The sequence below is a fragment of the Homo sapiens genome, chromosome 10, assembly GCF_000001405.40.
Source record: "Homo sapiens chromosome 10, GRCh38.p14 Primary Assembly".
NCBI classification, from domain to species: domain Eukaryota; kingdom Metazoa; phylum Chordata; class Mammalia; order Primates; family Hominidae; genus Homo; species Homo sapiens.
The window spans coordinates 83970931-83988075 of NC_000010.11; the positions used below are offsets into that span (position 1 = coordinate 83970931).

General features: G+C 44.9%; 1 long non-coding RNA gene across 2 annotated transcripts in view, besides 1 other annotated feature; it reads right to left on the reverse strand.

Moving 5' to 3' along the window:
* Positions 1–659: 659 nt before the first annotated feature.
* LOC105378399 (uncharacterized) overlaps positions 660–17145 on the reverse strand; it is a 31892-nt gene continuing 15406 nt past the window's right edge. Inside the window, exons 1-3 of one of the 2 annotated variants that reach the window (XR_946149.1) lie at positions 7769–7855; positions 6936–7156; positions 660–756 (exon numbers count right to left, since the gene is read on the reverse strand). This is a non-coding gene — a long non-coding RNA (uncharacterized LOC105378399). Of the gene's footprint in view, positions 757–6935; positions 7157–7768; positions 7856–17145 lie in introns of those variants that run through there. The other variant, XR_946148.2, reaches the window with a different exon arrangement.
* Positions 12453–13652: an enhancer, noted in NCBI's record as "MED14-independent group 3 enhancer chr10:85743139-85744338 (GRCh37/hg19 assembly coordinates)". NCBI's record gives its function as "activates an origin of replication core promoter dependent on BRD2, BRD4, P300/CBP and CDK7 cofactors, and independent of MED14, by STARR-seq in HCT116 cells {active_cell/tissue: HCT116}" and the evidence as "EXISTENCE:reporter gene assay evidence [ECO:0000049][PMID:35650434]".

The following is a 17145-nucleotide window of genomic DNA, read 5'->3' on the forward strand; positions in this document are numbered from 1 at the left end:
AGAAAAAGAAAGCCAAATATACCCAGTCCTTTAAGTTTATTAGTAAGCAGTGGGGTTTAAGCTCTTAAAATCATGTGTTCTGGGGTCAGACTCCCTGGAAGCAGTACTCTCTGTGTGAGCTCAGGCAAATATCTCTGCCTCTCTGAGCCTTAATTTGCCCAACTATAAAATGGAAGGGATGATGACAAGATAAACCTCAGGGGATTTGCTGGGGCCATTACTTGAGCTAATACATGTTCCTGATGTATGAACTCCAAGTTCTTCAGTCAGCGTTCTCTGGAGGGACAGCACTAATGGAATAGATATATATGTAAAGGGGAGTTTATTAAGTATTAACTCACATGATCACAAGGTCCCACAATAGGGCATCTGGAGGCTGAGGAGAAAGGAGAGCCAGCCCGAGCTCCAAAACTGAAGAACTTGGAGTCCGACATTCGAAGACAGGAAACATCCAGCACAGGAGAAAGATGTAGTCTGGGAGGCTAGGCCAGTCTCTCTTTTCACATTTTTCTGCCTGCTTCTATTCTATCTCCACTGGCTGCTGATTAGATTGTGCCCACCCAGATTAAGGGTGGGTCTGCCTTTCCCAGACCACTGACTCAAATGCTAATCTCCTTTGGCAACACCCTCACAGACACACCCAGGATCAATACCTTGTATCCTTCAATCCAATGGAGTTGACACTCAGTATTGACCATCACAGGTCCATGCCTTGTCGACTTGAACCTGTACACATCTCCTGAGATCATACATAACCTTCAAATAAAGACAATAATAAGGTGATAATTATACCTAACGTAATACAACTATCCTTCATACAACCAGAAACGCGCCAATCCCCAACCCAAATACTATTACATAAAGTTAACAATACTTAAATGCTGATGTAAAGTCAATAAATCTTATGTCACATAATAAAGGGAAAAGAAAGGAAATAAAATGAAGATATTTTCTTAGTACAGGTGTATACATGCACAAGCATGTTTTTAACAAAAGAAGGAGGAAATACTCATGACAATTATAGTCCTTGTTTCTGCAGGTGGTCACGTGGTCATAGCTGGTATTGATGACTACCTTCTTCTACTACCCATTCTGTATTCCCTTTACCTTCAGCAAGCACCTCAGCAGGTCATGGTTTTTTTCCTGGTGGAGTGACCCAAACCTTCATTTCTGAAGGGTCTGGGTCATTTGTAGTACTGCCTGGATTGGACTGTTGTAGTTTCCCATTGACCTTAATTACAGGGTACGGTAATACTAAGAGACGCCCTAATGGATCTCCCGTATTAAATACATAATCTTCCTTACCTCTGTTGTGGAGTAGTAAACTGATTTCATCTTGACAATCTGGGTCAATCACCCCAGCCAGCACTGTAACCCCTTTCTTAGCCTATTGACTTAAAGGTAGCAGGAGCCCAAAGTTTCCAGGTGGGAAACTTAACTTCCAGTTTAATGGAATTGTTGTTGTGTCTCCTGGTGGCAGTGTTCCTTCCTCTGGAATTAAGACCTCTAGGCCAGCAGCATGTAATGTTGCAGGAACAGGAAGCAAAAATTTTGCTAGTGGGTCACTAGGGGTGACAGTGAGTGGTACCACTTCCACTTCTGCCCTTGATTCCTAGACCCGTGGATCCTGGCTATGCAAGAAACAGTACCATATATTGGACGATGATTCAGAGCATACACGGCTTTCTGGAGAACTTTGCTCCAGCCCTGCAAAGTATTATCATGTAGGTGGCATTGTAATTATAACTTCAAAAGGCCATTCCACCATTCTATCAATCCAGCTGCTTCAGGATGATGGGGAACTTGGTAAGACCAATGAATTCCATGAGCATGAGCCCACTGCCACACTTCTTTAGCCACAAAGTGAGTGCCTTGGTCAGAGGCAATGCTGTGTGGAATACCATGATGGTGAATAAGGCATTCTGTGAATCCATGGATGGTAGTCGTGACAGAAGCATTGCATGCAGGATAGGCAAACCCATATCCAGAGAAAGTGTCTATTCCAGTGAGGAAAAACCTCTGCCCTTTCCATGATGGAAGAGGTCCAATGTAATCAACCTGCCACCAGGTAGCTGGCTGATCACCATGAGGAATGGTGCCATATTGAGGGCTCAGTATTAGTCTCTACTGCTGGCAAATTGGGCACTCAGCAGTGGCCATAGCCAGGTCAGCCTTGGTGAGTGGAAGTCCCTGTTGCTGAGCCCATGTGTAACCTCCATCCCTGCCACCATGGCCACTTTGTTCATGAGCCCATTGGACGATGGCAGGGGTGGCTGGGGAAAGAAGCTGAGTGGTGTCCACAGCACAGGTCATCTTATCCACTTGATTATTAAAATCTTCCTCTGCTGAGGTCACCCGTTGATGAGCACTCACGTGGGATACAAATATCTTCCCAGTTTTTGACCATTCAGAGAGGTCCATCCACATACCTCTTCCCCAAATTTCCTTGTCACCAATTTTCCAATCATGCTTCTTCCAAGACCCTGACCATCCAGCCAAACCATTGGCTACAGCCCATGAATCAGTATATAATCGCACATCTGACCATTTCTCCTTCCATACAAAGTGCGCAACCAGGTGCACTGCTCGCAGTTCTGCCCACTGGGAAGATTTCCCTTCACTGCTGTCCTTCAGGGATGTCCTAGAACGGGGCTGTAGTGCTACAGCTGTCCACTTTGGGGTGGTGCCTGCATATGGTGCAGAACCACCTGTGAACCAGTCCCTAGTATTCTCTTCCTCTATCAGCTGATCATAGAGAACTCCCCATGAAGCCGTCAGTGCAGGCTGGGGGAGAAAAAGCAGGGCAACAGGAGTGGAGGCCATGGGCATTTGAGCCACTGCCTCATGTAACTTGTGCCTTCAGGACCTGCTCAAGCCCGATCACGTATATACCGCTTCCATTTGATGATGGAATGCTGCTAGGCATGAACCACCTTACGGCTAGATGGGTCAGAAAGCAGCCAGTTCATGATAGGCAATTCAGGTTGCATGGTGACTTGATGGCCCATAGTCAAATGTTCAGTTTCCACCAAAGCCCAGTAACAGGCCAAGGGCTGTCTCTTAAAAGGAGAGTAGTTATCTGCAGAAGATGGCAGGGCCTTGCTCCAAAATCCTAGTGGCCTCTGCTGTGATACACCTATGGGTCCCGCCAAAGGCTCCAAACAGCATCCGTATCTGCCACTGACACCACAAGCACCATTGGATCTGCTGGGTCATATGGCCCAAATGGCAGAGAAGCTTGCACAGCAGCCTGGACCTGTTGCAGAGCATTCTTCTGTTCTGGACCCCACTCAAAACTCGTAGCCTTTTGGGTCACTTGATAAGTGGACCAGAGTAACATACCCAAATGAGAAATGTGTTGCCTCCAAAATCCAATAGGCCCACTAGGCATTGTGCCTCTTTCTTGGTTGTAGGAGGGGCCAAATGCAGCCACTTATCCTTCACCTTAGAAGAAACATTTTGTCAGGCCCCATACCACTGGACCCCTAAAAATTTTACTAAGGTAGAAGGCCCCTGAATTTTAGTCGGATTTATTTCCCTTCCTTTGGCACACAAATGTCTCACCAATAAGTCCAGTGTGTTTGCTACTTCTTGCTCACTGAATCCAATCGCATAATGTGATCAATGTAATGGACTAGTGTGATATCTTGTGGAAGCAAAAAGCGATCAAGATCTCGCCGAATAAGATTATGACACAAAGCCAGAGAGTTGATATATCCCTGAGGTAGGAAAGTAAAAGTACATTGCTGGCCTTGCCAGCTGAAGGCAAATTGCTTCTGGTGGGCCTTATGGACAGGAATGGAGAAAAAGGCATTTGCCAGTCAATGGCTGCATACCAGGTACCAGGAGATGTGTTAATTTGCTCAAGCAATGAAACCACATCTGGTACAGCAGCTACAACTGGAGTCACCACTTGGTTAAGCTTGCAATAATCCACTGTCATTTTCCAAGATCCATCTGTCTTCTGCACAGGCCAAATGGGAGAGATGAATGGGGATGTGGTGAGAATCACTGCTCCTGCATCTTTCAAGTCCTTGATAGTGGCACTAATCTCTGCAGTCCCTCCAGGGATGCAATATTGTTTTTGATTTACTATTTTTCTAGGTAGACACAGCTCTAATAGCTTCCATTTGGCCTTTCCACCATAGTAGCCCTCACCCTACCATTCAGGGAGCCAATGTGGGGGTTCTGCCAGCTGCTAAGTATGTCTATGCCAATTATTAATTCTGGCACTGGGGAAATGACCACAGGATGAGTCCAGGACCCACTGGACTTGCTGTAAGTTAGACCTAAGCTAAAATTCCATTAATTACCTGACCTCCATAAGCCCCCACTTTAACTGGAGGACCACAATAATGTTTTGGATCCTCTGGAATCAACGTCAGCTCAGGGCCAGTGTCAGTAGTCCCTGAAATGTCTGATCATTTCCCTTTCCCCAATGCACAGTTACCCTGGTAAAAAGCTGGAATTCTTCTTGGGGAAGGATAGGAGAAAGATTCACTCCCTAAATTGTCGGTAATATAGTGGGGTCCTTCCTTAAGGGGACCCAGCCTCCCCTTCATTCAAGGGGTCCTGGGTCTGTAAACAAGCTGGAAATTTACTGAGGGGTCATGATGCTCTGTTTTTGTACTTCAAATCAGTCTTTTGTCCATTCAACCTAGAAGTTTTCTGCTTATAGATATTAAGTAGGAATTTATTGATAAGAAGTAGGCTTTCTATCAATTTCATTTCTAGGAACACTGTGATTAATTCGCCAAAACCAGAGCTCTACATGAGTCAGACTATTCTGATTGCTGCTTTGCCTCTACTGTTCATTATGGTAGCTACGCCCACCTTGCCTTTGACGGTTGAGTGCTGCCACTTGACCCCTGCCACCTCGGGATCCAATTATTCCCATTGTATTTAAAGTTTGTGGTTGAGTGACTGGGGTTCCCACTGTTAGATCTGACATAGAGAGAAGAGCAACTGCAAGGCTCTTCAAAGATGCACAAATCTATTTCATGAGGCATTGGTCAAGGGTATATCTTCTGGACCCTCCCAGCTGGGATGAGTAGCTCTAAAGAGAGTAATCCACTCCACCATCCCAATCTCCTTAAGCCTTTGGATTCCTTCCTCTACATTAAACCAAGGGAGATCAGGCATTTCTAGCTCACTCAGAGTGGGCCATCTTTTAATTCATATTTCAGCTAACCAAACAAATAAACTATTAGAACCTTGTTTAACTCCCAAAGCTGAAATGATAAATGCAGAGTCCCTACTTAGTGGGCCCAAGTCAATAAATTCAGCCTGATTCAACTCTATGTTCCTTCCACCCTTATCCCACACCCTTAATATTCATTCCCATGCCTGTTCTCCAGATTTCTGTTTATATAAATTAGGAAACTCAAGTGGTTCTTTTTGAGTGTAACACACCTCCTCATGGGTCACACCCTCAACTTCACCTCTAGGGGTCTGCCAGGACTTTAGACTAGTTATAGGTCTAGAAGCAAACAGGGGTGTTTGGGGTGGCTCCTGAGGAGAATCAAATTATCTTGCCTGACAACTGCCCCAGGGGAGGCCATCACTGTTGCCTCAGACCGCGCAGGGTTTGTCTCCTCAGACAAAGGTGGAAAGGCTGATGGCAGCATGGGTCGGGGAGGGGATGTTGCCACTACTGGGGATGGGGAAGCTGTTTCTTCTGGCAAAAATGGTTCATCAGAGTTTACAAACTCAGTTTCCCCAGCTTCATCAGGGTCCTCCCACATATCCCCATTCCAAGTTGCAGGCTCCCATTTTTTTCTAATCAATACCCTCACTTTAACAGTAGACACCTGGTGAGGTTGTGCATGCATCTTTCGTTGCAGGTCAGCCATTCACATAAGAGCTTGTGCCTGTTTTTCCACAATTTCAGCTCTTTCTCCACAGGAGATAAAACTCTCACTCAGGGCAATCCCAGCAGATTTGAGGCTCAGTATCTGCTTCTGAAGCTAGCAGATAGAATCCCTGAGTTTATCATTTTTTTCATCACTTTGTCCACTGAACTTAGGAGCAACCAACCAGCTTAATTATGTTCCTTGACTCTCCAGATATAGTCAAAGGTATTATGTATAGGGTCACTAAACTCCTTGCCTCTCAAGAGCGACAAATCAGGAGCATCAAATGCGTTTATTTTGCATAACTCTCTACACAGTTCACTCCAAGAACTCTCAGTGTCCTCCATACTATTAGAAGTAGAGTCCTTAGCATTTTGGGGTGTAATCATTTGAAGCAGCCAACTCCAGAAATCCCAAAACCAATGAAATAACTCCATCCTTAATATTCTGTTCCTTTAGAACCACTCCTGTTACCAAAATCTGTATTAGTCAGGGTTCTCTAGAGGGACAGAACTAATGTAATGGATATAGATATATAGATATAGATATAGATATAGATATAGATATAGATATAGATATAGATATAGATATAGATATAGATATAGATAGATAAAGGAGGGGTTATTAAGTATTAACTCACACAATCACAAGGTCCCACAATAGGCTGTCGGCAGGCTGAGGAGCAAGGAGAGCCAGTCTGAGTTCCAAAACTGAAGAACTTGGAGTCCGATATTCAAGAGCAGGAAGCATCCAGCACAGGAGAAAGATGTAGTCTGGGAGGCTAGGCCAGTCTCTCTTTTCACACTTTTCTGCCTGCCTATATTCTAGCTGCACCAGCAGCTGATTAGATTGTGCCCACCCAGATTAAGGGTGGGTCTGCCTTTCCTAGCCCACTGACTCAAATATTAATCGCCTTTGACAACACCCTCACAGACATACCAAGGATCAATACTTTGTATCCTTCAATCCAATCAAGTTGACCCTCAGTATTAACCATAATAAATAGTGCTCAGTAAACATTACATTTTATTCTTCTATAACCTTTATGACAAGCCTATAGGTGTTATTATTCTTTCCACTTACCAATAAAGAAATTGAGGCTCAGGGTGTTTTGGTAACTTTCTAGCAATATTGATAGCAGAATATACCTGGACACCTATCCCAGAATGTATGTGCCCAGACTCATGAGTGCTGCTGCAACAGGCTGCCACCCAGGAGGTGCTCCAGGCACATTTTCTGATGGGTGTGTGCTGTTCTCTCATCCATGGTTCCAGCTATCACAATTCAGTCTCTTCTCTCTTGTACTACCAAGGGAGAGAAAGCAGAAGTAGATGTCAGGCAATAGGTAGTGGGGATAATGGCCCTAAGAGTCTATTCTTCTTCTGTTAATTTCCCTAGAAGCAGAAGCTCATATGACAAGGGTTGAGTCCTTAATCAGCAATTCCTAACTGAGAACCTGAGTGTGGGTTTGTTTTGTCCACATTCACAGCACGGCTTAGCAGACAGCAAAATATACTTGGCTTTAGATGGGAATAACCTTAGCAAGACAATTTCTACAGCACATACAAGTGCACATAAACATGCACATGCTCAGCTGAGAAGAAAACTAAAAATAGATATTCTTTGATGGTCCACTGAGTGACATCCTACCTAGCAAAGAATCTCTACCTCCAAGCACCTGCTCAGTCCAAACTTCAGACAAGCATTAGACTATTATCCTGGCCTCTAGGTATGAGAGGAATAAAGATTGATTCTATCAAGAGTCTGGGAAAGGGAGGGAAGGGAGCCAAAACATGGCACAGGCCTTTATAAAACCTATGGGAGATCACCAGCTCAAAATGGGATTCTTGAAGATTAAAACAAATAGTGTTCCTGTATGCAAAGCAGCCCCAGACAGCATGATGGATGAGGGCTACCTCCATCCCAGATCTGTGTGATTTCTTTCTGCTCTTCCTTACTGGGGGATTTAAGCCAACTCTGAGCTGGGTTTTCTGTGTGATGAGTGAAGCCTGGAAACCTTTCTTCCTATCCCAGGTGCCTGATCAGCCAGGGGCAGTTCTGAGTATTAGGTGTGGCAGCTTCTTGGAAGCAAAAAGAGAATAAGCTGATTGGTCCAGAGTTTGAACTTAGACCAGGGGTTGCCAAATTTGTCTGCACATTAGAATCACCTGGGAAGGCATGTAAACATTTGAAATTGACCCAGCCATATTTCAGGTTAAGTAAACTGCAATCTGTTAGGCAGGACACAAGCGCCAGGAGTTTCTAAGCTTCCCAGATGATTCCAATGTACAGACAAGCTTTGGGAACCACTGGTTTAGACACGTGGTTCTTTCCTGGCAAAGGCTGTACCCCTTAAAGGACATTTTGCAATGTCAGGAGACATTTTTGGTCATCACAAATGGGGGGTGGTGCTGCTGACATCTAGTGGGAAAAGGCCAGGAATGCTGCTAAACAACCACATAAGAAAGAATTATCTGGCCCAAAATGTCAATAGAGTCCAGGGTGAGAAACCTAGTTTAGACGCTTGCAACTCAAAGTGTGGTTCATGGACCAGCAGCTTGTTAGAAATACAGAACCTCTGGCCAGGCGCGGTGGCTCACACCTATAACCCCAGCACTTTGGGAGGCTGAGGCAGGTGGATCACTTAAGGCCAGGAGTTTGAGACCAGCCTGGGCAACGTGGTGAAACACCATCTCTACAATAAATACAAACATTAGCTTGGCCTGGTGGCAGGTGCCTGTAGTTTCAGCTACTCGGGAGGCTGAGGCACGAGAATTGCTTGAACCCAGGGGGCGGAGGTTGCAGTGAGCCAAGATCTTCCACCCTGGGCAACAGAGCAAGACTCTGTCTGTCTGTCTGTCTCTCTCTCTCTCTCTCTCTCAGATATATATATGATATATGTTTATGAGATATATACATATATACATATGAAAGAGAGAGAGAAAAATAGAAATACAGAACCTCAGACTCTACCCCAGACCTACTGGGTCACAATCTGCATCTGTACAGGATCCCCTGGTGATTGGTAGGCAGATTTTAGAAGCACTAGTTTAAACTAATTTAGGGCTGTTTTGTATAATGGGAGGTCCCTTCCATTTAAACTGCTAGGCTGGATTTCTCATCCATGGCAACCATTTCTTTCACATTCTAATTCTCCCCACAACTTCTCAAGCTTGTGTACAGGAACGGCCTCAGGCCTTCTTTTATTACACTGTATGCCTGCACACATATGTCTATGTTTATCACAGTCTCAGGCTTTAGAATCAGACAGATCAAGTTTGGATCCCAGCTCTGAATAGGATCATTTAAAATCTTAACCTCGCTGTGTCTTGATGGCCTAATCTGCAAATGGGGAAATGATGTGAAGACAAGGTAAACCATGCAAAATTAGTGATGGTGTCTGAGCAGTGTGAGTTGGAATCCCAACTTCACCAATTTATTAGATTTGATGTTGGGCAATTTATTTTCTTTCTTTGAACCTCAATTTTCTGATCTAAAAAAAATGCATAACCACACCGGATTGTGAAGAATATTATCCAGGTGATGGATTTTCAGAAGCTAACATGGAGTAGGAGCTCACATGCAGTCATTTGCTTGCTTCCTGAAATATGGCAGGAGCTCCATAAATGGGATAGTCTTTCATTCAAACCCCACACCAAAGTGCCATAAATCCCTTCTCTGTATCAGTCTTGGGGGACATACATTCACAGTCATAGGCTCCCCTTCATCCATTCTGGGGCCAACACAGAAGGAGGATGTTGTCATCTGCTGTCTTGTCTCATCATCTCTGTTAAGACTGTATCTTGAAGGTGGCTGACCTGCTTGCCTTCCACTGCAATCCCACTTGCAGCTGGGTGATGTGCACAGAAAGTCCTCAATAAATGTTTTCTGCTAGTGATTCGGGATTCAAAGCCCTACAACTATAAGAGGGGGAACTGGGACTCAAACTTGGTTCCTCCCATTCTGAAACCCAGGCTGGCTTCACGTCACCACACTACCTCTCCATGGCAGGTGTGCCTGTCCCCCATCTCTCTCCATACACACACACAATGCAGCAGTCAGTTAGCAACTGCCTGGTGGGGTTTACTGTAGAGACACGAAAGCTCACTGTTTCTCCTGAACTGGATTGTAAATGGTTCGAAGCACATCCCATGCTTTTTCCTTATTCTGTGTTCCTCAGGGACCTAAACACATGGCTGAGCACACAGCAGAAACTCAATAAATCTCTGTTATCTAATTGATTGGTGAGCCGGTTGATTGATTAGATCATGGTTGACTGAAGTAAATGCAGCATAGCATAAGAGATGCAGGTTGCAATTATGTAATCTCCAACTCTGTCTTTGGAAAACTCCTATAATTTCCTAAAGATTCTCCTACATTCAGGACAGATCTATTCACCCAGCCTTCACCAAGAACTCCCATACACTTTATAGAAATTAAACATTCTATAAAGCGAGGATGACGAGGCAGGCAAGGGGAGGCACTGAAGCCCCAAACCCACAAGGCTTCTTGAGTCCTATTGCCATGTGGAGAAACCCTGACAGGGCACTATGGAACAGTATCCAGGCTAAGCCTGGAAAAATGACAGAAGTGAGATGAGGAGGAACTGGGAAGAATGGGAGCCAAAAGGCACAAAGTCTGGAGCAAAGAGATCAACTGTGAGGTAGAGCAATGAAGAAAGCTCCCTTGATGGGTTTGCCAGAGGACATCACCCATTCAGACAAGTAGGCAAACACCTGACTCCAGGGACTGTATAGAACATCATTAACATGGACAGGAACCTAAGAGCCACACCAGGTGAGCCAGAACAAATTTGAGCAATCCCAGCCAGCCAGCAGTGCCGCTGGTGCAAGTGCCTTGGCTTTAACTCAGGAACCCCAGAGCAGGAGGAGGCTCCATTTCCAATAATAAAGCACAGATTGGAGCCACTGGACTTGAGCATAGAGATTTCAATTCTACTTTTTTGCCACAAACAAACTAAGCACCCACTATGCGGTTACTGTAGCAAAGCAGCCATGAAAAGAAACATAAGTGAGCATTGACTTTGCCCAGGTTAAAAGACTACATCCTAAATGGCCTATGTCTCAAAAGAAAAAGTGAGCCAGACCATCACTTCCCATCCGCAGCCTCTGCCTCCTGAAGGCTGGGCCCGGGGCTGGAGGTTTAGACAAGACATCTTCAATCACTCCATGGAATAAGGGTCTTCTGAGCCTTCAGCAGGGCTGGATCAGCCCAAATTCCTCACCCCTCTTGGAGGTCAGAGGACAACTGTTGTTTCACCAAGACAGAGCTGACAATACCTAAACCTCAGGCTGCAGGAAGAAATCAGCTGGAAAGCAAAGTGAAGAGCTAAAGAAGACTAAGGAGAGATAGGAGAGCAAAGGGTAAACCCAAACCCAAGCCCACAAAGCAGTGACAGGCTCCATGGCCTGAGAATCAGATAAGAAACAAAGGCTGGGTGTGGTGGCTCATGCCTGTAATCCCAGCACTTTGGGAGGCCGAGGCAGGTGGATCACCTGATGTCAGAAGTTCGAGACCAGCCTGGCCAACATGGTGAAACTCTGTCTCTACTAAAAACACAAAAATTAGCCAGGCATGGTGGTGGGCATCTGTAATCCCAGCTACTGAGGAGGCTAAGGCAGGAGAATCGCTTGAATCCAGGAGGCGGAAGTTGCAGTGAGCCAAGATCACGCCACTGCACTTCAGCCTGGGTGACAAGAATGAAACTCCATCTAAAAAGAAAAGAGAGAGAGAGAGAGAGAGAAAGTAAGGGAAGGTCCTATTTGAGGGATTTTCTCCAAAGATGAATTTCTTTTCTGGGCTGGTGTTTATCTGCCACCCATAAAGAAAGGCCATTCATGGAACCCAAACAGAAACAACAGCCCAGAGCCCAGATCTGTCTCTATGAAGCCTGGAGATATCGTACGGTGGGGGAGAAGAAAAAAGAAAAACCTGAGATTCCTATTTCTTACTCTTCTAAGAGCTGAGATTTGGATTTTTTTTTTTTTCAGACTGCCTTGAAGGTAATCCAAGGAGGGAAAGACCCTGCTTGGGAACTGTGGGAAGATGACCTGGATCTCATAGTATCACTCTCAGGAAGAAAAAGAAGAGACTGCACTGAAGAAATAATGGCATGCAATGTTATTTTTAAATTACTGGTGAGAAAAAAACAGGAACTGTAAGATGTCTGAATTCACACACACAAACACACTCACACACTCACACCTGTTCTCCAAAATGAAGCTCACTTGTGGTGAAGCCAAACAGTGCAGCAGCCTTCTTTAATCATATAGTGGAAGGAACCCCTTCTGTCACCATTGAAACTGTCAGAAGATACATTTTCACAAAGGCTGATAGGAATGAAGTGTGTCCTTCAACTATACGGGAGGAAGCAAATGAATTTTGACCACCTACCACTGGGAGCACCTTTTGGCAGGAGGCTCTGTATAATTTATCTGATGTAACCCTCAGAAGAGCGTCGTGAGACAGTGTTATTACCTCTCATTTACTAATAACAAAGTCGAGATTCATAGAGGTGTAATAAGTCTCGAGATCTCACAAGTAGTAGGTCAGCAATTTCACCAAATATTTGCAAGTTGACAATCTGATACTGATTTCTGCCCACTCCCCCAGCAAACACACCACCTCCCCCAAACCAGACCATCCTGAGAGGAATAATGGATAATGCATCCCCGCTAAAGGCAGACGGGTTTTAAATCAATCCACCAAGTGACCAATTAACATTCTCCCTTCCATAGCCAGCCACTGATTCCTGAAAGGGATGAGAAAATTCAGTGTCTTCTCAGATTACATTGATATTCATCCCAATTACCCTCCTCCTTCTCCATTCCAGCAGCACATAAATTACCAGCTCTGTTGTCAAATGCTGTATGTAATTGTGTTTAGCATAACATCCCAAGGGAATAGAAAAGCCATCCGCTCTGTGATGGGCTGAGGCACGCCAGGGTGCACTGGAATGAAAGTTGAAGCCTGGTATCCACCCCTCTCTTCCCACCTCCCACAGAACCTGGCAAGCTCAGGCAGGTCCAGGCCTGTCAGGAGCCACAAACAGGAAGAGAGGTCAGAGTGCGAGGTGAGTAAGCAATTCCCACGAAGAAACAGCAGTCCCTCTGCTTGTCAAACTGCATATCTAGGCAAAACAGGGATATATATTTTTTGATGCCCAAGGAACAGGTCCTTTCCAGGACTATATTAGTAAATCACTAGAAGGAAATAAAGGTTTTAAAGTAATTCCTATGAGCCAGGTCATGTAATATGTTCTCATTTAATTCCTGCTGCAGCCCTTGGGGAGGGTGATATTGGCCTTGCCCAGGGTGACACAACTGGTAAGTACAGGGCTGGCAATCTGTTTTCCCAAACTCCCTTTTCTGATCCACATTCTTCATCCCAACATCCCCTTCTGCCCTCCCAAGGATTTGCCTTACATCTAGTTCCCTCAGAACCTTTCTCTAGCTGACTACCCAGTTGGAAATCAACAAACCAAGAGGCAATCCTTGGAAAATCCCCCTAAATTAATACAAGTCTCTTGAAAGCCAAAAAGAAATCATCCTCATTATCACTGCCAATTAGAACAAAGTTTGGCTACCCATAAAATGAAGAAAAGAAAAAACTGTGACTTAACTTAAAGCTCTGGTAAAAGTGCTCCAATATGGATGATAGGCCCAGCCTTTTTTTATCTTCCTGTTCTGTCACTCTCAGAGTGTGGCTCATTCACAAAGTCATCTCCTGGTCCAAATGGCCTGCTGGAGCACTTGCCTTCACCTCAGAATGCCAGGCAACAGGGAGAAGAAATCAGGGAAGGACAAATGGGCTCTCCTCCTTTAAGAAGCCTTTCTAAATTTTCTACCCATCAACTTCAACTCACATTATGGTCAGAAATATTCACATGCTCACACCTAGCTACAAGGGAGCCTGGAAAGTGTTGTCTACACTGAGCACACTGTCACCCTCTCTTACACTGGAACTGTTTTCCTAAGGGAATAGACAAAATAAAGAGAATGGGTAGCAAACATCTGCCTCTGTCACAATGGCCATCACCCCCCTCCACCACCATCATCACCGCTTCTTACTCAGGACTTTCTATGCTTCACACCTTTGTTCAGTTGATCCCACAATAACCCTACAAAGGGAACCATGTCTCCCATTTTACAGGTTGGGAAATAGGGTGTGTTAGTTCATTTGAGTTGCCATAAAGGAATACCTGAGAATGGATAATCTATGAAGAAAAGAGATTTAAGTGGCTCATGATTCTGCAGGCAGTACAGAAAGCATAGCACTGACATCTGCTTCTGGTGAGGCCTCAGGAAACTTACAATCATGGCAGAAGGCAAAATGGGAGCCTGTGTATCACATGGTGAGAGTGGAAGCAAGAGAGATGCCAGGGTCTTTTAAACAACCAGCTCTCACATGAACTCACAGAGCGAGAACCCACTCATTACCATGGGGAGAACACCAAGCCGTTCATGAGGGGTCCACCTCAGTAACCCAAACACCTCCCACCAGGCCCCATCTCCAACATTGGGTATCACCTTTCAACATGAGATTTGGAGGGGACAAACGTCCAAGCCATATCACCAGGTTTCACAGAGGCTAAGTAACTTACCCAAGGTCACAGAACTGAGACGTGAGCCTGGAAGATAGACCTATTATTAATATTTGTCCTGATTCAAACTCCATGAAGTGCCCACTTGACATAAATGTCTAATGTGATATAAGTTAATTAAGAAGAATTTTGCTCTTTAAGTAGAAGGCAACTGTCTACCCAAATATCACATCACGAATCTCTCTGTCTGATTCCAAAGCCCGGGATTCTAACTACTGCACTACACTTTCACCCTCCTACGGTCATTTTATGTACTGAACAGTGATAGAGAAATTACAGCATCAGGGAATCCTCAAATCAGCCAAGTAAGAAGCTATCTTGTATGCTTGAGCAAAAACCAACTATAGCACCCTCGGAAATCTCACCCTAAAAAAAGTTTTATCCCGATTTTACTGAGAAGAAGGCCAGAAAGGCCAAGTCAGTGGCCACACATACACACACACACACACACACACCCTTAAGCCCTACCTCTCTCAATCGGGTGACAAGTATCATTCTACTGAACAAACACCCGGTTTTGCCCTTTTTACCCCTCTACTTATAGCTAAAGATTCATTTCTCTCCTTAGCTTATTCCTATTGTGTCTTAAAACCTTTTTCACAGCTTTTTTGCTTAGGAGTTTTTTTCCATGACTATTTCAAGAGAAAGGCTGACCTGGTTATAACCTCACTCCTTCGTCTGCACATCCTCAGGCCTAATTGGATCCCAAGTTCCCAAATGGGATAAGCAGGTCAGCAGCCAAGAAAAATATAGCTTTCCAGCTCCCACAAAAAGAGGTGAACATTGTTATTAGACCCATAAGCAAAATGTCAAACTATGGAAAGTCTTAGCCAATAGCATTATGGCCCTAGATAGCTTGGCCAGGAAGATCTCAGAGCTGCCTAGTATGGTTCCCTTAAATGTTCTACATCAGGATTATGTTAATATATTACGCCAATACTAATAGCAAATATACTGAAGATGCTATTTGTAGAACTGGACCAGACAGATAATTTCAACCATTTACCAGGCACCTCTTCCAGGCCTATCACTGGTCAAAACTGGGGATACAGGAGCAAGAAAGCCCAGATCCTGCCCTCAAGTAACTTGTAGTCTAGTGGGTGAGCCAGATACATGAATTCATCATTTCAGACCACAGGCTTAGAGCACTGCCTTCTGATGAGTTCAGTGCTTTCAAAACTCAGAAGAGGATCATCATCTCTCTCTCTCTAGGGCTACCCGAGGGGACTGCCTGGAGAAAGATGGACCTTGACTCCTGAGGTCATCCAGAGGTAGTGAGCCTCCCACAGAGAACCCAGCCTTCACTCCTGAGGCAATAATCAGGGCTTTGTCCCTGGCCCAGGAGCACATCCACCTCCACGTGCATTAGTACTTAGTGTTGAATTTTACCAAAGATTTCTTGGGGAGACTGAGGAAATATTGAATCACACACTAAAGAAAAAGCACAATTTTTAAATCCCTATGAGATATTTCTTTTCTTTGCTCAAGTTTTTGCTCAAGTTTTTCCCACCTACTTTACCTCTCCCCTGTTCCCCTACATTCAATCTCATCAACAACCCATGTCATCAGTTCCCAAACACAGCCCAAAAGTCCAACTCAGCAAAAACGAGTCCAACAAGATGGCAGAATAGGAGATGCCAGCTCTCATCCCCTCCACCAAGAAACACCCATTTTGGTAATCATCCATAGATAACCCAAAAGGGCAGGAGCCCTAGAGTCTAACTGAGAGGTTCTAGCACCTGGTGGAGAAAAAAAATTCCTAGAGTGGATGAATTAAAGAGGGTAAGAAAAACAGTCTCTCTTTATCTACTTTACCCTTTCCCCAAGGCAGCATAGACCTATGCTGAGATAGGTCCCCTGGGCCTGTGCTCTCTCTCATGAGGAAAAGTCAAAGTAAAAGGAATGCAGGACTCCCCAGTTTTATGGGACACAGTCCAGAAGGACCACTTCTGTCTTGCTTCACTCAGAACAATGAAGGGATAAGCACTGGTGAATCATCTGGAGCCAGCTAGGAGCAGGGGTGGCAGCAGACAGCAGTTGGCTTGCAGTTCTCAACAACCAGCCAAGGATCCTGCTGACCAGCTTACTGACTCCGGAAGGAGTCTTGCCCACAAACCCTGCAGAATAAACTGCTTACAGAGCTCCCCCACCAGCCAATGTGCACTCCCAAAACCTGACATGCTCCCACCATGGATGGCACATCCCTGTGCATGGAGTGCACAAGCTCCCACAGATAGCATGAGGATCTCAATAGCAGGGGAGGAGTGTAGAAGCCAGCTTGACTCTGCTGCTATGGGAGATGCTGCACAACACTGAACTCTTCAGGACACTGCCCTAGGGAAAATAAACAGGAGGCTCTCAGCACCTGGCCTGGCTTTGGAGGATCAAATTCTAAGACTTACCCGCTAGGAGGGGGCAAGAGGAGTGGAGTTGGACACAGCCTTAGAAAAGGTCTGAGAACCCCAGATACTCAGAGACATATCAGCATTCCAATGTTCATTGCACCATTATACATAAAAGCCAAGATGTGGAATCAATGTAAGTGTCCAGCAACAGATGAATGAATGAAGAAAATGTGGTATATATGTGGTATGCATACACAATGGAATACTATTCAGCCTTTAAAGAGAAGAAAACCCTGCCCTTTGTGACAACAGCGATGAACCTGAA